Source organism: Homo sapiens, chromosome X (assembly GCF_000001405.40).
Source record: "Homo sapiens chromosome X, GRCh38.p14 Primary Assembly".
Classification (NCBI taxonomy): domain Eukaryota; kingdom Metazoa; phylum Chordata; class Mammalia; order Primates; family Hominidae; genus Homo; species Homo sapiens.
Window position 1 is genome coordinate 91,772,004 of NC_000023.11, and position 24,225 is coordinate 91,796,228.

Genomic DNA, 24,225 nt, shown 5'->3' on the forward strand with positions numbered 1-24,225 from the left:
GACTTGGAGTAAAACGCAGATCTGGTCGATCCACTACAAGAACACTGAACAGTGGGTCTGAAAAAATATCGAATTCAAAAATCCATCAGTTGACAAAGTGAAGGTTTCTGAAGGATTCTTTATTATGACAGGATTAGGTTCAGCCTGAAGGAGAGACTAGTGCGTCTGGCTCCAGCAACAGGGCTAGAGAAGGTGGAGGCTAATAATAACAACATTCACAGAGTTGGGAATCTAGGTCCAGTATTTTATTTTCATTGCCAATTTTTCATTCAATTTTTTTTCTTTAAAAGGAAAACCATTCTGTGCTCCAAACCCTTTCCCTTCACATTCTAGCCTGACAAAAAAGATAACCAGGATAGAATCAATAGTGTGCCAAACTGCCTTTGTGGTTTCACTTCATTTAGAAGTTACTCAAGAAAGGACAATTACATTTAAAATTGAAGACATCTTTTTATTATATGAAAGTACAATGATTCACCATTTTCTACCCTATGTGAAAGAAAATATAAAAGGAATAGTTGAGACCAGCTGCATTTTTGCAATTGAGAATAATCCTGGATTTGGATATTTTATTTAAAGGCAGAAACTGACATCCAGCTAAGTTTTAGTAATGAAAAAATAAAAATTGTCAGCTAAGTTTTAGTAATGATGAAATAAAAATTGTTCAATCTCAAAGGAAAAACAAAAATCCTATGCTGATTCTCTAGACATATGTGTAATCATTTAAAATGGTATGTCTGCAGTAGTCCAGCCAATTAAAAATGGCTCAAAATAGCCACTCATTAAATACTTTGTTGACTATACCATAGGCACTGATTTTAAAAGGAAAAAAAGAGCAGTTTTCCTCTACGTTTCAATGAAATACACAGTATATTTGTTATCACATATCAGAAAATATAACTGATTTTAAAAGCATACAAAAGTTAAATCTACTTAGTTCACAGTCATATAATAGAAATAAAGAGGCTTAAAAAGTAAAGAAGGCTCAGAGTAGTGTGGGATTAGTCCAGGATTCTTGAAAAATGTGTATTTGTATCAATCTCAATATATTGCTTTGGAAACATTATGTGGTTGGTTGCATATGTGTGTGCATTTCCTAAATTTAAAACAGTAGCTGATACCTATGTCCTGAAGAGATGGCCACATAGAAATCTTGATGGAATAGGAAAATTCATTCTCATTGTTAATGAAAAAAAAAAGGATTCTGCTTTTCTCAACGAATAAAACTGTTGGAGTCCTTCACCTCACCATGCAACATCTGGATAACTTAAGGCAAAACCTGTCCTAAAGAAACAAGAAAGATAGAGACTGTTAATAGCATTCTAATCATTCTACTCTTTAAAAAACAATAATTTTCCCCATTCACGTGCTGCCATCACAACACAGGCCAGTAGCACACAGATGAAAATCCTCATCTGGTACAGTTTGCAGCTATTCATTTGCAGAAAAATAAGAATACAGTAGGAGAAATTAATTCTTCAGGGGAAAAGAGCAACCTTGAGAACAACCCCACATTTACAATCATTTATAATTTATAATCATTTATAATCAGCGCTCAGTGCTTCAACAAAGTTCAGCTATAAACATAAGGCTGTAATTGTCAGGTTCTTGTGAAAGAAATTCAGCTACAGCTTTTATCCACTGCAATTGTGGAGCTGTTCAAGCCTACTGGAAAAAAAAACATCTTCTATATGACCTGACTACCAAACAGTTGTCACACCCCTATTAATTACAGAGGTCGTTGAAGTAGTTAAGAATTCTTATCGAAATCTTTCCTCTATAGAAAGCCCTTCTTTTCCTCCCCTCCTTGGACTTTCAGTAAAGCATTTCTCAGAGCAGGGAACGAGTTCAAACTTTTCCTAATTATTGGCCCAAACATTATAGCACACTTCTGATATATATATTTTTTATTTTGGTAGTGTTGTAAGGCCAGTCCCAGGTCTACAAAACAAAAAAACAAAAACCAAAAAATCCTTGCAAGTCATATACAGGAGGGAATGGAGAAATGTTACTTTCATTTCACAGATACGCCCTTTTCAAATATTCTTATACATTATAGTGGTGGAGAGGGGGAAGTGTGTTGAAAGATTTCATTCATCTATGTTTTCAGTAATAGTACCCTCTAGTGTCTCCAGCTGAGCTATGCATTTGGTGAGCTGCTAGGTAAAGCAGTTAAACCACCGACAGCATAGAGCTTGGTAACTAGCAGACCTACTCCCATTTCTCAATCTTTAGTTTCTGAAGAAATTCATTTGTCTTTTGTGTATCTGTACCAGTTTCAGCCTTATTATCATTTGTGACGTGAATGCCTGAATACTAGAAATATCTACCAATTAAATGTAAAACTGCCTGTACAAATTATGATAGTAAAAATGCTTGGAATTGAGAAAGTACTTTTAACTTCTCATATCATTTTCATATGCACTATAATATTTGTAGGTCACAGTATTGTTCCCCTACCCCTATGACGGCACATGAATGTTTGTTGTTGCTTTTAAAGAGAGAAGCAGAATGATTTCACTTGGGATAAAGAGAAATGAATTCTTAACTAAGGCTTTTGCTTTAAGCATTCTCTATTCCTTTGAGGTTTATGTTATCTTTTAATTTTCCTTAACATCTTTATTTTTTTATGTCTTGGAGAGTGACAACTTTTTAGCTTTATTTTAGACATTCTGCTGAGCATTTTAGATGAATTACCTTATTTAAATATCACTACAATATTTTGAGGTGGATAAGGTTATTATCCCTAATTTTAGATGAAGGAACTGTAGCTTTTTAGGACAGCTCTGTCCAAAAAGCTACGTAATGCAAGCCACACATGTAATTTGAAATTTTCTAAAAATATTAAAAATACACAGTTGAAGTTAATTTAATAATATATTTGTTGAACCAATGAGTCAATATATTATTTCATCATGTAACCGATATGCAATGATAATGGTATATTATGTTATATTATATTATATTATATATTGAAACAGAGTCTTGCTCTGTTGCCTAGGCTAGAGAAAAATGCCACAATCATAGCTCACCGCAGCCTTCGAGTCCTGGGCCTAAGTAATGCTCCCAACTCAGCCTCCCGAGTAGCAGGGACTACAGGTGTGCGCTGCCACACCTGGTGAATTTTTTATTTTTAGTATAGATGAGGTCTCACTATGTTGCCCAAGCTGGTCTGGAACTCCTGAGCTCAAGCAATCCTCCTGCCTTGGTCCTCCAAAGTGTTGGGATTACAGGCCTGAACCATGGGACCTGGTCAATATATTTTACATACGTGTGTGTGTGTGTGTGTGTGTGTGTGTGTGTGTGTTTATGTGATATACCTTCAAAATTGGGTGTGTACTTTACACTCGAAGCATATGTCAACTAGGGCAAGCCACATTTCATGTGCTCAGTAGCCACATGTGGATAGTGGTTATCTTATTGGACAATACAGGTCTAGAGATTAATTTCTTCACAGCCAGACAGCTAGAACATGGCAGAGCCAAGACTCCAAATTTGGTCAAAAATCAAAGGTTTTTTCTTAACTACTGAGCATCACTCCCTCCTACTGATTGCAATTGTTGCTGATGGTTTAATATTAAACATTAAAAATATCATGGAGAATGTGTTTTATCCAGTCTTTCTGTTTCATTCCCATACACCAATCTACTTTCCCAATAGCAATGATGATCTATTGATTATAACATGTCTGTGCAATGAATAGTGCAATTTGTGATGTAAAACACAAAAAAAGAATGGAATTTAGTGCAAAATAACTGTCACATGATAAATACAAATTACTCTGTTGTCATCTATCTGCATGACCTGTACACTCCTTCTCTGAACAGAGACTATAAGGAAAGACAGATCACAATGAGATGACAGATTGCTTGATAAGGGATGTTTCATGCAAGGTGAATTGAAATAACAATATTTGATTGGCTTCATCAATCTCATGTCAAGGGTGATTTTGTCAGAGAAATGAAAATGTACATGAATAGGTGTTGCCAATGCTCATCTCTCTCAGTTTTCTTTCACCAGGATTCTATGGCTGATCAATCCTTTTTTAGATGGGCATGTTATTTCTTGGTTTTAATCAATTCTTACAGGCCTGAGAAACATCCTTACTCACTGATGTTTTTGAAAACTCTTCTTTGATCCATTATATAATCAGAATGGCTTTATAGTTTATCCCTCAGAGAATATGCATATTTCCATGTTTATGGGGTATATATTACCATAATTTCCCTTTTATGATCATAGCAGAACCCTGGTCTAGGTTCCTAATGGGAACACTGAAGAAACAAAATGCAATAAATATCACAGTTCCTTCCTGACACCTCATCCAAAAACCAGATTCCCACAGTGTCCTTTTTGCTTTTGAGGACTTTTGTTAGTCATAAAATTTTTATGTAATGCACATTCTGAAAATGTGTCACTACACAATCTGAAGACCGTATGCTGAGGGGCAGCACAATGGACTGGACGTAACACGGGTTGGAATTTCCTGTGTATTTTATAGCTATAATACCTTGGGCATTTTTACCGAGTCTCTGTTTTCTCATTTGTTAAGGAAAACATGAAGCTAATAATACCTACCTCTTAGAATGGTTTGGAGGATTAATGGGACAATTTATATAATGCAGATGGTACATTAAAAACATTCAGTAACGGGGAGTCCTTCTGTCTGTAGTCAGAAAAGCGTCTTCATCAGTCCTTTTAGAGTTAGAATGCCTAGAGCTTTTTGCCAGGTGCCTTTTGGTTATTCCGTTGCTCATTGGTGCCACCATCAGACAGAACACAGGAGAAAAGAAAATGGGGGAAAATTTTCATTATTTTCAGATGTGGATTTCTGTCAGTCTTTTCAACAGACTCAATTTCTTAGGTAATTTTCTGGATTGCTTAGTTCAACTAGTAGAGTCTCCTTGGTCTGTAAGTAATGTTTCTAATCTATTCAGATCATTTCCTATTGGACTATACACCTAAAACTAAATGCTCTGCTCCATATTATATATAGAAGAATTCAGATTAACTATAAAGTAACCATGTAGCTGAATTTATGAGTTATATACCCTGAATAGAAATCTAGAGTCTGTTACTCTTTAGCGTCATGGTCTTGTGCAAATCACCTGTCCTCTATGAATTTCAGTTTCAGGAATTGCAAAATGGAATAATAATATTAACCTCATAAGTCTGTCATGATAACTTTAAATACTTTAAACGGTGACAAAATAGTTCTCTTCTCCTGCCTAGGGATTAAATGGAAATCTTCAGAAATCAATTAATTGGTATCTAATGTGGATGTTATGAATAATTCTTAGTATTTGAAAGCACTCCCATAGCATGCCTGTGCCACACTGTCCCTGGATCAATCAGTGATTTTATTTGCATTGAGTTCCTGCCATCTCCCATGACACAGTCTCATCCAGTATTGCAATCCCCAAGAGTCAGAGCTGTAACCATTTAGCAGCTTCTGATTTCCCCTCTCAGACATTTCCTAGCTCCCAAGAAGAGTGCAATGCATGTGCTGGATACTGTGAATAATGAAGGGACGGTTACAGGAGGAGCAAAATGTAATAGCGAAGTGTCTCCTCACACCTGTGCAAGTAAATATTTCTCTGTTTTCTTTCATGCAGACCTGCATTGAGCTGCGGTGCTGATGTTTCTCCTAGTAGCATGGCTTTCGGTATAAAAATATGCAAAAAAGTGACGTGAGGAATATTTGAACCAAGGTTTTAACCTTCAAAATATCAGGAATGGGAAAGGAGGCAGCTAAGAAGATGGAGAAGGATATACTGGGGAAACAAGTCATAAGGATTTGCCTTTCAGTTAAAAAACTTTCCCTGAAGCAGCTATTAGAGAAAAGCAACTTATTATAATTCTGAAAATTTTTCCTTCTTGATGTTCTATCTCTATGCAGATGTCATCTCCTCTTCCATTCAGTAGACAAAAAATAAAAAATGGATACTGTGTTATTGGTGCTCTGAAACATTCTCTACTTTTTCTCCTTTTATTTCAGGAAAAAGAGCCACCTCCTTTCAAATAATTGCACAGCACCAGAAAGATAAGTTTTTCTACAGGATAAGCACGGAAAGTGGATTTTCCCCATAAAATCGTACACCTTTCTGGAGAGAGGAATTTAGAAAATTCACCTGGTTAATTTTCTGGCGTCTGGGTAAATTTAAGGAGTTGTTCCTTGAAACAAGAATAAGAGTTGACCAGCTGGGGTGGTTTTGATGTTGTTACTACTGGTTTTTTAATCACATGCCAGGAACGGGGGAATTGGCCCCTACTTCCTTATATCCACGACCCTTCGAAGGCATAAACCAGCCACATTCCTCCTGGTACCTTTAGTGGTCCTTGGGGACCTGGCACCCGGATGCCCACCCAGCCGTCGCCCACCAGGCAGCCAGAGCTGGCTGGCAAGCACCAGGCATGAGGCTCCGGGCTGGTTTCCTCCCTCTCTTGCCCCCTTTCCTACCTTGGAAAAGCGCCGTCCATGCCCGCGACGCTGCCTGGTCTCTGGCAGCAATGCCACCTGACTCACTCCTGCTTGCTGTCTGGGGTAGCCAAATGCTAGGTCGCTAGAACTTCTCCTTCCCTCCTTCACACACACACACACACACACACACACACACACACACACACAGCCCTTCGCTGCTGTCAGAGGATTAATCTGGAAAGGCGATCGAAGTACCAGACCCCGCTCACAGTTGAGTATGATATATGCGGACAGCCTCTCAGCTCCAACTGTGACTTTGCCAGGCTTCTGCCCCTACTACCCCTAGTCTGCCTTAAGTATCCTTTGTATGAGAAAATGGTGCTGTGGGATGCTTGTTCTCTAGCTGGAGTCGGCAGCCAGCGGTATCACAAGAAAAACACACAAGAAAAATCAAACTTCTCTGAGAAAATGTGAATGGGTGAAACTTAAAGGGAAGCCTAAGAGAAGAGTGAGCAGAGGACCGAGGAGAACATTGTATGCCCAGGGTTTTGCTCAGGAAAGCTAGCAGCCCGAAAGCGGCGCGTTTTCTTCAGCAGCGGGTCCCGCACGCGAGAGTGCTGCCAGCACGCTTTCTGCCTCCTTCTCCAGGAGGCGAGCAGTAACTTCCTAAGCTTACCTCCATCTCTCCCCCGCCCTTCTTGCTGGTTCTCCGTCAGCGGGGAGGGGCCGCCCCCGGATCGATGGGGGATGTGAGGTGCAGGGAGTGGGGACCAGAGGGGGGTACTCAGCAGTTGGTGCTGCGCCATCCCTTCCCAGCAGGCGGCCCGGACACTGGTTCACTTCTCTCCCCACGCCTTCCCCTGGTTCACCCCCCTTCCTTCCCCTTTCTCCCCCTCGGTTAAGTCCCTCCCCCTCGCCATTCAAAAGGGCTGGCTCGGCACTGGCTCCTTGCAGTCGGCGAACTGTCGGGGCGGGAGGAGCCGTGAGCAGTAGCTGCACTCAGCTGCCCGCGCGGCAAAGAGGAAGGCAAGCCAAACAGAGTGCGCAGAGTGGCAGTGCCAGCGGCGACACAGGCAGCACAGGCAGCCCGGGCTGCCTGAATAGCCTCAGAAACAACCTCAGCGACTCCGGCTGCTCTGCGGACTGCGAGCTGTGGCGGTAGAGCCCGCTACAGCAGTCGCAGTCTCCGTGGAGCGGGCGGAAGCCTTTTTTCTCCCTTTCGTTTACCTCTTCATTCTACTCTAAAGGCATCGTTATTAGGTAAGTAACCGGACTGGGTACCTGTACAGGGTGCTGTCAGGGAGGCGTGAGGTCCACACTTAGTGCGCGGACACTGCCCGCTGCCTGCCCCTGAGGTCTGAACTATGACAACGGGGTGGTTTTAAAGACGCTTCTGCTATTCTCCCTTCCCCCTTCTCTTCCCGGGAGGTAAGAGAAAGAGCAAACCCCGGAGGTGAGCGCAGGGAGAATATCTTTTTGCACTACCACCGCTGCGCTTGGTTACTTTGGGAAAACTCTCACTTTTGTCAGAAATGTGTCGGCGCATGAATTTCCCCGACATTGGCTGTGCAAAAAGGTCTCTCCCTTTAATGGGTACAGCCAGCTTCAGCGAGGCTGAGGGAAACTCTAAGATTGGGGCGGGTGTTGACAAAAGAGCACGTCCCGGACTCCCAGACTCGCCCGGCTGAGAGATTGGAGCTGAGGGGCGATGCCTCTAGCTGAGAAACTACCCCTGGCCTCCCTGCGCTCCTCTGGGGGCTCGGGTTTGGATCCCTGCCAGGCTGGCTCCAACCCTTGAGGGTACGACCCTTGGCGCAGAGAGGAGAGCCAGGAGAGCCAGGAGCGCACAGGGTTCCCGGTGCTGTTTCTCTTGGCGCTCGCCTCCCCGCCCTTCCTTCCCGCCCTATTTTTATGGGGCTGTACTCAGCCAGCACCTGCTGGATGTGGAGATGGTAGGTGTGAGAAATACTGCCTATTTTTTAAAAATCAACTTATAATCTAGCCGAAAAACGGCATCATTTTCTCATTTAAAAAAAATGACTTTTCTAAGAGTATTGCCAGACATAAAAGGGTTCCTCTTTCTCTAAAGAAATGACTTGTAATCCCTTAGCCAAATAAATAAATCAATAAACCGCCCACCTATCCCATAAATAGGTGGTGTTTTCTAAGACAGAACCCAGAAACAGTTCACGTCCTCACAAAGGAATTCTTTTTCTTAAAGCGCGTAGCGATAAAACGGCTCTTTTTTTTCGAGAAAAGTAATGTACCTTTTAAAAGAGGTTCATCGGAAAATGTGACTTTTTAAAAGCGAGCAGCCGCAAACGGGTGTATTTTTTAGACTTTAGAAGAGCGGAGCGGCAGTCCGCCCGGGTTGCGGCTGGGACTCGCATCTGAGCGCTTAGTCGCAAAAGGACTGAGGGGTAGGAGGAGAGGTCACTTTCTCAGAGTGTATAGCCAGAGCCGCTTCCTTGCCTCTCCCAGGGAAAGACTTTTAGAGCTTAACCGAAGATGGGCCCTTTTGCTTCAGAATGATTTATTCCGCGTTCCTCTGCTTCACCCGCCTGCGGCTTAGGGTGTGGGGCGCTAGGCTGCTCATGTGAAGCGCTTACGGGTGAGCCCTAGCCTCTCCGATGCAAAATGTGGGCTGGGGGCTGGGAATTGCTATTTGCGCCACTGCGGCACACACCCACAAAGCAAAAACCGTGGGGAAGAGGGGCTAGGACAAAAGAAAAAGAATTAAAGCTCAGCAACAAACAAAATAAAAATTTTTAAAGTGTCCTTTTCTTGTGTGGAAACATCACAAAATGGGATTTAAACCCAGCCTAGGATCTGTTTGTACGAAGAAAAGTGTGTGGAAGAAACTGGTTGAAAATCCGGGTAGAAGGGGGAGGGGGGGCAGCAAAGATGGGGAGGAGGCGATGGTGTCATAGCAGTCGCCTGTGCGCTCTTAGCGCTGCAACCAGGAAACAACCTGAGGAGCATGCAGAGAATTCCGAACGCTGAGCACACCTGAGAACATAGAGGTGCTTTGTGACTTAAAGCGACCTAGGCCCCCTAAAAAGTAAAACAGGTGTGACTCAAAATAGAAAAGGAAACGGTACTTGCGGGCACCCGCGCAACTTGGTAAAGACTGACGGAATTCCACTTTTAATCTTGTTTGAAACAAACTCTCGCAATCCCAGCAGGAAATTCCAGCGCCAGGGCTGGCCTTTCCTCTGTGGGTCTGTGTGTGTGTGTGTGCGCGTGTGTGTGTGTGTGTGTCGCGGCGGGGCTGGGGGTGGGGAAGCAATTCGAAGCAAGTCGAAGTAATAGTGTATGTACACGTTTCCCCCTTTCTTGCCTTTGTCTGGTTCATCATAGAGAGAGCGCGGACCGTGTGCGGGCGGTCTTGACGAAAGAACCGAGAGATGGATGCGCTAAGGTCTAAAGATACCTTTCTCCCTCGACTAAATTAAGAATTGCCGCGACAGTTCCCAAAAGCTGAGTCCCGCTGCAGCTGCCAGGTCGCCACACTCGCCAAGCGGCGAGGGAGCGCCTTTGCCTACCAGGCCGGAGAACCCTGTTCTTCAGTCGCCTTGGCAGGGGCAGCCCCTCCTTCTGGCAATGATGTCAGCTGCAGAGAGGCTTGGCCCGGCCGATGGGAAGCCGAGCGGCGAGTCCGACCCGCAAGCACGAGCAGCCCTGCCCCGCGCGCTCCCTGCGCGCAGCCGCCCTCGTGTCCCTTCGGCCTCTCCTGGGTCCCGGCTCGCAGCCCCCCCCTTCCAGTCCCTCGCTCCTCAGAGGCGCGCTAAGGCGCCAGAGGCGGGGGTGGCCACTGCTGGCGGCCCGCCGCCGGTTTTAAACCCGGGGTTCAAACCCAGATTTGGGGTCTTCCCTCCTCCATTTCCTCCTTTCCTCCGCGCCCCAGCTCTCTCCCTTTTTCAGCCTGCACCTTCACTATTCACAGTGACTTTACTTATTTAGCAACATTTTAGAGGGCAAGTGTTCCAGATGCAATAATAGTAGTAACTGGTGTTAAATTTCTGCTGTTTTCTCTCCCCTCGGGTGATAAAAAAGATGTGAAGAACGGCCTCTTTAAAAAAAAACCCCGTGGCTGCTGCTTCGCCTGTCACAGAGCAAGCTCTCTAGAAGGCGGGGAGGGTCATCTTTCCCACAAAATTGTGAGGTGGGGGAGGGTTTGTAACCTTAGGCGAAAGCGCAGGCTGGGGAATCCCCTTCACAGAAAGAAGAAACTGCAAATTGGAAGTTGCGGAAAGGCTCTATCCACTACTGCCATAGGGGAGAGACCACCATGCTCTTTATTTAGAGACACGCGCTCCAAATTGGGATGATGCAGGAATAGGTTTCTTTAAGACGGAAGCCCGCTGCGGCTTCCCTTTTGAGCTTGCTCTTATAGTCCTAAGGAGCAAGCCCCTGCTTTGCCAAATTTGAGGCTAATCTGTTTTCCTGATTGCGGACAATTCCTTCTTTAGCTTTGGTAGAAGGGCCGCAGAATGCAGTTGGAGAAGGTTGCACAGGGCAAGAGGGAGGGGCAGAGGCAGGGCGTGTAGAGGCAACTGGCGCCTGGAGCAGAATTACCTTCCAAAGGAAAAAACCTTCAAGGGGTGTCGCAACAAACTGCTTACTTACTGTGTTTTGGTTTGGACGCAGGTGAGAGATGTGGGCAAAGGGAGCAGAAGCAAAGAATTACTCTGTTTTGTAAAGGTAGGATTCTTCCCCCTTCCTTTTCTTCTTCCCTTTGATGAAAAGCTTCCCTTTCATGACGTATAGCTGGCAGCAAACTTAAAGTTGCTGTGCGTCTGAAATACAGGAATGGGAAAGAAACTCCGACCAAGCATAAAACACACTCATTTTCTAGAGCTCAGTCATTTGCTAAGGGTTGAAATAAACTGTGCACCCCCACTCCCTGCCCCTTCCCCCTGGCTCCTTGGCCTTTTTGTCACCGGACTGGATTCTGAAGGACGTCCAGGTAATGCTGGGTTTCAGCAGCTGAAAGCCCTGGCAGAAGGGATTGCAGGTTTCACATTCTTCCTTCTCTTGGTATTCAAAACTTTATTTTTTTTTTTGCGAGATAGAAATTCTTGATAGAGAGCTTCCAGACTGCTGGTGGCAGGGAAGAAATCTGGTTAAGAGATTCAGAAAGCAGAAAATTCTTTTTCTCTGCGCAAGCAGTCCACAACAGCATTTAGCTAGGATTTATAAGATTCTTGGTGGAGCAAGGGGAGGCACATCGACAAAGGAGAGTTTATATAAGCCACTGGCTTTGAGCTACATTGAAAAAATATGTATGGCAGCCACGTTTTCTTAGTGGGAAAGAAAATTATTCAGGGAATGAAATTTTGAAGGCTAATTCTCTCCAAGAATCTTGCTTCACATAATTTAAAGGAGGTGTCATCCCTGTATTTGTTCACTGAAGAGTCCACGAACTTTAATTAGTCACCTACTGTGCCAGACAATGTGATAAATGGTGTAATTGAACATAATGGAGAGAGGAATTAATTTTTGTTAAGAGGTTGAGAAGAGGTTCATAAAGGAGAGAGAGGTCTGTGGCTTTAAAAATAGTCATTCCTAGTCAGTGGCTAGCCAAGAAATGTATCTGGAAGGTCATGCCCTGTACAGAATAAGTAAGGAAGGGCATGAGGGCTTGATGTCTTGTTACAAAGTTTAGAGGTATATGTGTGTTTTGTAGACCTAGAACATCTTTGAATATTTTTTTCCAGCAAATTCGTTAAAGTAACAACAACAAAATAGCCTGAGAAAATTGGGCAATAGATAGCACACAGTAGAAATATTATTGTTGTTTGCATTTAAATGAAGAATTGAATACATTGATGTATTACAGTAGAGAGTGGAAGCAAATATGTTAAGAAGATAATGTAACATCCAGAAAAGAGGACTAATGAAAGAATAGGGCCTAAAGCTAATCAGTATAACTAAGAAAGAAAAGAAGGCTACTTTGGGGAATAAAATTTCTCTTTAGGCATCATCATCTATCCACTCAGATCTTTTTACTCATCTCAGTTTCCCCATCCAGCCTTCGAAAAATTCCCCATCTTCCATCTATCGAGTAAACTCCGTTTGTCCTGGGGAGACCCCCACTCCTTCAGCCACTTTCAAGCACATTCATCTTCACCTCACCCCATTTTCTACACACATCCCTGCATCATCTCTGAACCTTACATCATGTAACATTTTACCCACTTCAGCCTTCTTTCTACAACCAGTTAGAGCCTCTTAATCTTGTCTTTTTCCTCCCTTTAGGCACTAACAAATAGCTCTATCTCGCTTCTTTTTCCTCCTCTAAGTCAGCTATTCCCCGCCCCTTTCCCATGCATTAATTATCCTGCTAATTTGTCCACTCATTTCCCCCTTTTACATCCTCCTCCCCATTAGCCACCTTGCATTCTCCTATCTTTCATTGACCTCAAAGAAGCTAAGGGGAAAGAAAAGCCACTCTACTTTAAACTTGCTTAGATTTGCCAAATTTTCGTCATCAAGGTTTCTTCCTTTCTGTGTCTTTTGCTGTTTTAGTTCACACAAGACTTTTAGTGGAATTCCTTCAATTTGTTATATATTTTTATTATGCCTGCAAATGTCTGTTTTCCTTTGGTTGTGGCTGGGGATTCAAATATTTTACTTTGGGGAGTATTTCCAACCTTTCTGAAGTTCTCACTGACACACTCCTGACACTGTTTCGCTGCATCCCATCCTTTCTGCTGTATTCTCTTCCCATGGGTAATTCCTTTTATATTTTCAGTGAAATTCTTTCTTATTTTTATTCCCTCCTCCCCCCCTCCTCCTTTTTTTCTTTTTGCTTTGTGGGATTGGTATAGCGGCTCAAGTTTAAATATTTTGAGAAGGGACCCCCCTCAGCAGACCCCCTCATCCCACACACAGGATTTTAAAGCCTGTGTCAACGTGTGTTCATGTCAACATACAGTTACCAATCTTCAGAGGCAAAGGAACCCCTGTTTGTTTTATTTTAACTGCACTCTTAGAAAATTCTTTTTCTGTGTGTATGGTAAAGGTGCAATTCTCATATCGTTCTTCTCTCTACATTCAGTGGAATTGATTCAACATCGCTGGGAATTGGGAAGGGAAGAAAGAGTACGCTGTAAAAATACATTTTTCATCAAAGACATATATACATATTACCTTTGGGAAAAATAAAATACTTTGGAACATTTAATTGGATTGGCTTTATATGACAACATTCCAAATTACATGTCATTGTCTGAGCAGAGTTCTATTATTTGAAGACTTTATTGATCATTCAGTGTCCAGAATGAAGAAAACTAGGTAAGATGTCTTGATGTTCCAAACTGGCTTGCTATGTTCAAATTGGTCATATTTGAAATGGTGTTATTTTTCAATAGAAGTTCTTCACGAAGGCATCATCTCTAAAATGTGGTTATCTTTTGTTAGGAGAAAACATCAAATGACCTATGTGTCATGGTCCCTTAAGATTTATTCTCTATGCAAGGTTAATTGTAAAATAAAAGTTTATCAGATAGAGAAAACTATTTTAGGGTGAAACTGTCTTTTGATCTTCAGTTACATCTGGAGAAACACTGCATTCTCATTATCAAACAGCACCAAAACATGGGAAAAAGAGTATTTTTCAATTACTGTTTTGAATTTGAGGAGTAGCTTGCCAGAAATTATAGATGTACCTGTTATCTTTTTGCAATCTAAAAATCCTCAACTGTTCAAGGATTTAAACTGCCCTTTTAATTGTCTCTAATGTGTTATGCACTGGATTAATATAATACATTTTAAGACAAAGAACATCAGTGGCTACAATTTTTGTTTCCAGCCCAAATCTGAAAGAATGATTTTTGTACACCTAATCTGCTCATCTTGAACGTGTAGATTTGGGTAAATAGGAGGAAAGATAAATGAAAGGAGAGAATAAATTCCGGAAGAATATATTTCTCTGTTCAATAAAAACTGTTTTAATAATCTAATATAACTTTTAGCATGACAATGATAAAATTAATTTGCTGATGGATTTTAATTAAACTAAAGGAAAATTCATTTCTTTTAAAAATCCTTAAGTGATTAGAGTGCAAATTGAGATTTTAGCTAATTATATAATTCAGTTACTATCATCACATAAAATGAAATTAAAAGATTGTTTTCTGTCACCTTTATTTTGATTCATTCTTTAACTCCTTCAATATGTATAGTATTTTATATTTTTATATCATTTAAAAAGTTATATTAGGATCATAAAAATTTTTTGAGTAGAAAAAGAAGGCATGGTTATACCCATTTTGTCAATGGGGAGACTGAAGTTCCCGCTGATGAAATCAGCTCCCTAAGAATTTCCAGAATTAAGAGGGGAAGCTTCAAGAGGATTGATGGTCTTTAGTCTCCAAGCCAGGTCTTTTCCCAACATCCCTTCTTGCCTCTCTTTTATCTTTGAGTATATGTTGTCAAAGTTCTGAATGTAAAAAGCAAAAATATATAATGTGTCTTGGATTAAAAAATAAAAATTTCAAAGACAAGTATATTCAAATATATTAAAATAACTTTTTCAGTTAATTTTCTACTAGCATTATATTCTCCTATTTAGTGTCTTTTTGCACTAAGCTTTGTAAACATTATATGATATTAAATAAAATGGTAGAACTATTGAAATGTTAACAGTACATGCTTATATGCTTCTTCCATTTTGTTTACAAAAATAATTTAAATTATGACCCATCATAATGACAGTCCCTAAAGTTTGAGTTTACTTAATGTAGCAAATGTTTAGTCCTATATCCTACTATCCTACTGTCATTTTTTTAGAACACCTGTATTTTTACATAAGATTTATTTTAGGGGATGTTTGCCAATGATTTTTAGGTAGTGTTTTTTTTCCTGACACGACATTTTGGAAGCAACATATCTTTGATAATCAGTTGAGTGTGGGTTTGTATCATATCAACCGAAAGGATATTAAGCCCCCAAAATTCAAATCATTGTTTGTTGTCTTCAGATTACAAACTCGTTTCAGGTACAGTGAGAGCAGGGGTTTATTTAAATTGTGTGAACACAAGGTCTTTTATGATTTATGTTTTATTAGTGTCTAGAGAGTGACCTTGGGCAAAAACCTTCACCTCCCTGGACTTCAATTTCCCCAAAAGTAAAATGAAGGAATTGTAAGTTATTTCAAGGCCCTTTGCAAAGGGAAAAAAAATCCTGTGATATTTTACAAAAAGCAGTAGACGTCTAGGACATTCTTTCCTTGTCCCTTGGCTCTGCACGTATTATCAATTTGACTGTATTGATTCATTAACCATCAATAACTAAAAACCTATGGCTTGTCCAGCATTGCAATACTTTAAATGTTAAGGGTGGCCCTTAAAGAAATTTTGGAGAGTTCTGTCTTTGAAAAGCTTATATTCTAATAGGGCTAAAACAATGAACAACAACAACAACAAAGTAATATATAGTCACATTAAATTGAATTCAACAAATATTCGTTGTCACTCTACATTACAGTACACCAAGTATAGTGCAGGTTTTATAGACTCTGAGAGTGGAAGGGACCAGAAAGATAATTTAGTCCAAACCCTTCATTTTACAGATAAGAAAAGGAAGGCTCAGGGATGAGATATGAGTGCTACAGGAGTTCATGTAAGGTATTGGGTGATAGCATGAATTAATTTATTCCACAAACATACTTGTTCCCTGCTTTCCAATGTGTTTAGAATTTTAAAACACCATCATGTAGGGCTTTTTAATTACCTTTGCTCAAATTTAATAATAGTATCTTATCAGAAAGTTAAATGTATCCAAAACTTGTTTGTTTTTTGTTGCAGTAAACAATTTCCCACTCTGACTCAGATCTAGAAAATACTGTTTCCCACATTTTGTATTGAATAGAGATTATTAAAAGCACCTGTATTGTGCATATTATGTTATAAAACATAAAAAGTGATGTTTTGATATGGAAAACAAGTGAATGGATTCAAGTATCAATGCATTAAGTATTTTATTTTTTTTAAAAAATGACTGGAAAAGCCCATTTACTTAAAATGGCTAGAAATATACATTCCTGGAAGGATGGTTTTATTTTTATAAATGCATATTTACTCTAAATAGTTAAGTACACATTTCCTTTAAGTTTTAAATATAATCTGGGGAAGATTTTGAGTGCATTCTCTAAAATTTGATGATTGCTACATAATCTCATTCTCTATGCCAGGGCATATGTGCGTTTGTTAGGGAGTATGGGTCAGGCAAAGGTAGGCAGGAAAATTATGCCAAAGCAAAGCTTTCCCTTCTTTCCTGAGTAATCGTAGACTGCTTTATTTTACTTTGTGACAGAGGAAGAGGGGAGGAGAAAGGAAATCAAATAGAGAAGAAAGAGAACTACCAGAGCGTTGGATGATAGGGCCTGATTTTCTCTTCAGTGTGAAATATGCAAGCTTTTTGAAACTGCCTTGGATAGCTTCTCTCTTTTACTTCTCATATTATATATTTAGAATACCTTAAGTGTTGGCTGGTCGCAGCGGCTCACGCCTGTAATCCCAGCACTTTGGGAGGCTGAGGCGGGCAGATCACGAGGTCAAGAGATCGAGGCCATCGTGGCCAACATGGTGAAACCCCGTCTCTACTAAAAAAAATTACAAAAATTAGCTGGGCGTCTTGCTGCGCGCCTGTACTCCCAGCTACTCGGGAGGCTGAGGCAGGAGAATCCCTTGAACCCGCGAGGCGGAGATTGCAGTGAGCCGAGATCGCGCCACTACACTCCAGCCTGGCAACAGAGCAGGACTCCGTCTCAAAAAAAAAAAAAAAAAAAAAAAGAAAAGAAAAAGAAAAAGAAAAAAGAATACCTTAATTGTTATTTGATGGTTGTTTGCTAGGTTGTGAGAATCAAAATCTTCCAAAACATGAATACATTAAATTTTTTTAAAGAGAGGCTTAAGAATAGGTAATACACACACCAAACACACAAACAGGACAAAACCTTTACATGAGAGCTCCTCAGGCAGAATTTCCTTTGCCTTTCTTTTTAGATCGGGAAAGAATTTGCTCAGTTTGTCAGTGACGTTTTACCCTTCAGTCTGCCTCCACAGTTCTTAAAGCTTTCCTTGTCTGCAGCCTTTCTTAGTCCATGAATTCAGTTTTAGCATCCATAAAATAAAGCAGTTACAATATGTGCTGGCCATTTTATAATGGCCATGAGTGCAAAGCAGGATTACTTAAGAAAGAGCATTTGAATTCACTGAAAGTCACAGACATTCTGAATGCCTCAGAACTGCATACAGGAGTAAACAGATATGGGAATATAAGGCTAATGTTCAAAAATTGGATAGCTGGCATATATAACAGAATCAAAACACTTTAGAAAGAAATAGAACCAATATACAATTACTAATCAATCAGCATCACTGCTAACGACTTGTTATTTTAAACTCCAGTTTCTAGGAAATTACATTCTATTCCTGTGCTTCTCAAACTATAATGTGCAGACAGATCATCTAGAAATGTTAAAATGCAGATTCTGATTCAGTAGATTCTAGGTGAGGCTGAAATTCTGCATTTCTAACAAGCTCCCTGTACACATGGAAGCTGCTGCCCCTCAAACTACAGTTATCCAAAAGGCGCTGATCCATAGTCTGGTAAACAAGCATGATAAAGATGAAGTAAGCCAAGGGTAACAGGATTTCTTAAAAGAAAAAAGAAACAATTTAGGTATGTGCAATGGATGAAAGTTTTAAATTCAACTAGATTTACAATTATTTGCATTTAGAGGTTAAATTTGATTTTAACCTTTTGTGTGACTATATTGGTTGAAACTGTAGTTCAGAATAACAACCAGTTGCTTGTCCATTTTGCAGTCAAATCTATTTCATGGACAGTTTGTACATACGATTATACCATTTCAAAAATGAAAACCATTCATCATACAGTGTCAACGGTGTACCAGTATCTTAAAATCTTTTTAAAGAAATCCAAAAGTTCTGAGAAGTCTTAGTATAGTATAGACCCCTAAAGATATTGGTTTGTAAAATATCAGAATTGAACATATCAGCTAATCATTCAGATTTTAGAGTAGAATATCCAATTAGATTTTCATTTACCTAATTTGAAAAACTTCTTTTTATTTTCTTATTAGTACACACATTTTGCAGAACAACAACAGCAACAACGAAAGACACTTGGTAGAGATTATTTTGTATTTGCTGTCTCAAAATAAAAGTCCTCAAAGTGGGAACAAATGGTAAATTAGACACCATGCTAACCACTTTCCTCACAACTAGACTTTTATCTTAGAATACAGCCGAATAGTCACTTAATCTAAGTGAAACTTTCATTCATTATTAGTTTAGGAAAACTTTCATAGTTCTCATTTCTTTATGTGCAGCTCAGAAACAGTATCAAGTTAAAACAAATGACATTGAAAGCAACCATTGAAATAAGTGTAAATGTTTAAATTGTGCTTGCTAGGAGACACGGTATAGTTCTAGCAGGGTTAGGAAAACAACTGAAAGTTTTCACTTCAGCGTTGGAATTCATGTCTTAATTGTACCATTGAGATTCAGAAGCCATCACCTTCCCGATGAAACTGTACTAGTCTTTTCTAAGCTCTGATACTTACAGGAACAGCAAAGTCTGTTTAGTGGTAATAATTTGAGGATCTCAGTGAGATAAAGGGCCAATTGGATTAAAATGTTCTTGTAAGTGCTAAATGAACTTGAGTGTCTGCCAAAATTGCCTTGGATTTCATTACTCTTAACATTACTTAATAATGTTAAGCTAGTGCCCATGTGGGTATGAACCCCAATCTTGCTAACAGTTTTCTGTATTGGTCTGTTCTTGCATTGCTATAAAGAACTACCTGAGACTGGGTAATTTATAAAGAAAAAAGGTTTAACTGACTCACAGTTCTACAGGCTGTATAGGAAGCATGGCTAGGGGAGGCCTCAGGAAACTTACAATCATGGCAGAAGGCTAAGAGGAAGGAGTCACGTCTTATATGGCCAAAGCAGGAGGAAGACGGAGCAGGTGCAGGTGCCACACACTTTTAAACAACCAGAACTCGTGAGAACTCACTCACTATCACAAGAACAGCAAGGGGAAAATCCACCCCCATGATCCTATCACCTTCCACCAGGCCCCTCCTTCAACACTGGGGATTAAAACTGGACATGAGATTTGGGTAGGGACCCGAATCCAAACCATACCATTTAAGCATAGACTGTTTCCATGTACCTAATGGGGCACGTATAGCAGCCAAAATACCCTATATCTTTTTAGGGTTTTTTTTTTTTTGAGAGGGAAAATCCAAAATATACAAAAAGGAAAAGAAATATAAGAATCAAGACAAAATAAACAGATAGCAAAACATCTTCATACTCTATTATCAAAGAATAGAGAAGAAAACTTACTCTATGGTAAATAGAAATATCAGTTCTATGAACACGATCAGTACATTTTTTTTTTTTTTTTTTTTTTGAGACGGAGTCTCGCTCTGTCGCCCAGGCTGGAGTGCAGTGGCGCAATCTCGGCTCACTGCAAGCTCCGCCTCCCGGGTTCACGCCATTCTCCTGCCTCAGCCTCCCGAGTAGCTGGGACTACAGGCGCCCGCCACCGCGCCTGGCTAACTTTTTGTATTTTTAGTAGAGAGGGGGTTTCACCGTGTTCTCGATCTCCTGACCTCGTGATCCGCCCACCTCGGCCTCCCAAAGTACTGGGATTACAGGCGTGAGCCACCGCGCCCGGCCTCATGTTTTAAGACAATGAGAAACAATTGAGTTAATTTACAATGGCATTAAAATAAAAAATCATATGTAATTAAATACATGTCAAAAATCAGACTATCTCAGACTCATAACTGGAAAAAATATGAAATAATTTCTTGGCCTGATCCAGCAAATATTAGAATGGTTCAAAATATTAAACAAAATAATGATGTCAGAGTATTCCAATTCAGTTTCATAACTTTAAGTCATTTATATTTCCAGCTTCAGAATCAATTTGAGTAGATCTTAGAATGAGTTTAATTACAGGAAAATATTACATAACTGGATGAAATTTTAATCATAAATCACAGACTTGAAGAATAGATTTTAAAGAGATGGCAGTGAAGGTTGAGCAATATTAGCCAGAAGACAATACTGTATAATACATACTAAATGTCTAAGTACTTAAAGTACTTACAATTGCTAATAATATGATAGGATCACAAAAGAATTAGTAAGAACTTTAAAGGAAATGGATTAATTATATTCATTAGAAAAAAAATTACAATTCTAAGTTACAATTAGGTTCCAGGATAAGGACTGACAACTCAAATAAGCATCATGATTCAGAGAAATGGAAGACACTTTGAGAACATGATATACAGTATTTCCTTTACAATATCATTACACTTTATATATTTTTATATCCTATGCCAATGATAGCAACTATTAGATCGAAGCAAAAATAATTGTGGGTTTTCCCATTAATAGATCACCCAAGAACATGCTTTGGTTGTAACTGAAACTACTAAGTTTTTGAAACAGGTAAACTAAAAATCAAAGCAGATTTATCATGAAACTTAACACAAAAACTAAACAAAATACTGGAAATAGCACTTTGCAGTAACTACTAAAAGCAATATCACTAATATCACAGATTTTACTATGTAAATAATTACATTATCACTTTTAAATTGCTTTCATTGCATTTTAGGGTACTCTGGCAGATTTTTTTTCATCTGAATCTCACAACAGTTCTGTGAAACAGGTATTGCATATATTATATATTTTTAACATATGAGGAAAGAGGCAAGACAAGTTTTTCTATTCTTAAAATCACATACCTTTTAGGTGTCAGAGACAATAATAGATCCTTGTTCTTATCCCTGGAATAATATTTGTTTTATCAGCTAATATATGCACCAATTTATTAGGTTCAAATATAATTAAGGATATATATTAAATAACAATTTAGAATATATTATATTTACTTTTTTAGGAGTTTTAAATTTGTACTACAAAGTTTCAGTGAGCACTTTTTGAATCTTATTCGGCAAAACTATTGTAATATCCCTGGCTTTAGTAATTTAAAACATGTATTAACATAACTATACAATTATACAGTAGTCAATAGTGGACTAGGAAATAAGGATGTTATCAGATTGAACAAGAAAGGAATACTAAGTTGGAAAACAAAATTAGGATTTGGTTCTATTTTCAAATAATTTCGGAAACCAGAGTCAAACTTCAAGGGATTGTCTTCTCTGTGAAGATAAAAATATTTGAAATAATAGGTCTAGAGGGAGAGTATTTGGGAGCAAAAAGGAAAATTATGGCTATGGGTTGGCTTAGATATAGACTGTTAATAATACACTAAGGTGTATTACTCTGGCTAAGTACTGGTAATGCTTGATCACAGAACTTTGGTAGGTTTCAAGTTTCTAATTTTATTTGAATTACATTCAAGCATTTCCGTAATAGAGTTCTGTAATAGTAGTTAACCATGTGGGGTGAATAGTTTTATCCACTGAGCTCATACTTTGTTTTCCATTGGAAGAACTAGATTATTAGAAACTGTTACAAAAATATATTTTGCTGTTAGAGAAGCAAACCCTGTTTAGTTTCTTTAGTGAATACCATGAGTTAATTAGTAGACTTAAAAATATAAATGATGACACATATTGTGCTGAAGTGCCACTGAATATAAGAAAAACACTATCCTTTTTGTAAAGTTTCCTTAAAACTACAGTTCTACATAAAGGTGATATTTATTCGTGAATGTTTTCTTGAAAGAAGCCTTTACATATAACCATTTAACACTTCAAACAACCCTGTGGATTAGCTGGAGCAGACATTTTTAGCCTCCCTTTCTTTTGTCCATTTCTGTTTTTCAAATGAAGAATTGAGCTAGTCCAGATTAGCTAAATGGCTTGCCTAAAGTCATCGTCAATTTAGTTAGGAGTAACTTAAGATTCCATGAGCTTTTCACCATTGCCATGTAGACTGAGTTACTGGTGGTAGATAATTTAACCTAGGAATTATGTAGTGATTTGAGATTTTTAATAAAGGAAGGAAAAGAAAGGAAATGTTTCTCAGATATAGAATCTAGGTTAGGGATAACATTTCTTTGCAGAAAAAAATACAAATTGTGATGAGATATTCAGATTCTACTGAATTAGCAATACACTGAGGTAAATCATGACTAGCAATGTTTTGATGAAAATATACTTGTTTGCTGTTGGGGTATTCATTCTGTTCTCATTATTAGTGGCTCCAAATGAAGAAAGTAGGAATTATTGTAGTGAAATGCATGTCCCTAGGCATTCTATAATAACCTGGAATTTCTAGTTTATTTGATTTTCCTGTTTTTACTTAGGAAGGTGATATGGTTTGGCTCTGTGTCCCCACCCAAATCTCAGCTTGTAGCTCCTATAATTCCCACGTGTTGTGGGAGGGACCTGGTTGGGGATGATTGAATCATAGGGGCGGGTTTTTCTGTGCTGTTCTCATGATAGTGAATGGGTCTCATGATATCTGATGGTTTTAAAAATGGGAGTTTCTCTGCACAACCTCTTTCTTTGCCTGCTGCCATCTATATAAGATGTGACTGGCTCCTCCTTGCCATCTGCCATGATTGTGAGGCTTCCCCAGCTACGTGGAACTGTGAGTTCTCCATTAAACCTCTTTCCTTTGTAAATTGCCCAGTCTTGGGTATATCTTTATCAGCAATGTGAAAACAGACTAATACAGAAGGTCATTTCTGATATTTTTTTGTCTTTGTGCATAACTTGTGCTTTTTTGGAAGTAACTTAAAACACAAATACTGTTTAACTATGAGCTATGAACAGTTACACCTACTGACTTAACGTGTGTTTTCCAGAAGGTTCCATTCCCTTTGAAGTGACTTGCCCAAGGTCACAAAAGCAACTTAGTGGCAGTCTGAAATGGAATTTAGGTCTGCTTGGTCAGTGTGCTTTTCACTATATTGTCCTGTCACATCTTTCACCACAGTAAAAGGGCTTATGTACATTTTTTTAAATCACATGTATAATGATCATATAGCCCAAAATAGTCCAGTGTTAAAACTAGTTTTGGTTATAGATTTGAATGGTAAATACCAAACTAATGTGTGTTAAATAGTAAAATGGTGACTCTTTTTCAACAAATTAAAGACATAAAAATACTAACTCATTAACTAATTTTCTGAATGAAACTTAAATTTTATAAAGCAATGTTACATATGTTATAACATTTACCTTCTTGAATGTTAGGGACGTCTCCTACATGAGGTTTTATGCTACAATTTAAACTTTAAATTTTACGGAAATATCACTATAATACTTTACTGCAACTTAGATCTCTCTTGAATCCAAGAAGTTTGTTTTGCAGAAATACTGTAAGAACAGTTTTATAGTCATCTTAATTTTAGTGGCAGGTCCCTATGACTTAAGACCCCAAAATACATTAAGGTAAAGTTTTAATGTTCCATAAACAATACCAATCATCCAATTTATGGAACTTATGTTTTGCTTATTTACAGAAAAATAAATATTTGCCCCATTTCAAATATTTTAAAGGTGTTTGCTCTATTGCTAAAAATGTCTAACACATTAGACTTTTAATAGATTAATGGAATGGAGTTGTAAACTATTCTTCAGCAAACATACCTTTAAAGGTCATGCTGTTCTCAAAATATAAATTAACAAGTTTGGTTAAGTGCAAGGAAGTAGTATAAAAGCCAGCAACCTCAGTTATATTTTAGTCTTGTTATATTTGTTTGAATGAAAATTTATCTTACATAGCTATCTTTTTTTCCAAAATGTAAAAGATTTTCCTTGTGAA

At 39.0% G+C, this 24,225-nt stretch overlaps 1 protein-coding gene and 1 long non-coding RNA gene across 8 annotated transcripts in view; one reads left to right on the plus strand and one right to left on the minus strand.

The window, feature by feature from the left end:
- Positions 1-430: 430 nt before the first annotated feature.
- On the minus strand, positions 431-7,243 carry LOC105373293 (uncharacterized). Its single transcript, XR_938465.4, has 2 exons — positions 4,579-7,243; positions 431-1,284 (listed from the first exon to the last, which is right to left on the minus strand). It is a non-coding gene; the product is annotated as an uncharacterized LOC105373293 (long non-coding RNA).
- The window catches only part of PCDH11X (protocadherin 11 X-linked), an 843,856-nt gene continuing 827,002 nt past the window's right edge, over positions 7,372-24,225 (plus strand). For 3 of the 7 annotated variants that reach the window (NM_032968.5, XM_011530910.1, XM_011530914.3), the window contains exon 1: positions 7,372-7,681. The gene's annotated coding sequence lies outside the window, so the exon portion shown is untranslated. The other 4 variants (XM_047441993.1, XM_047441994.1, XM_047441995.1 and 1 more) reach the window with 2 other exon arrangements.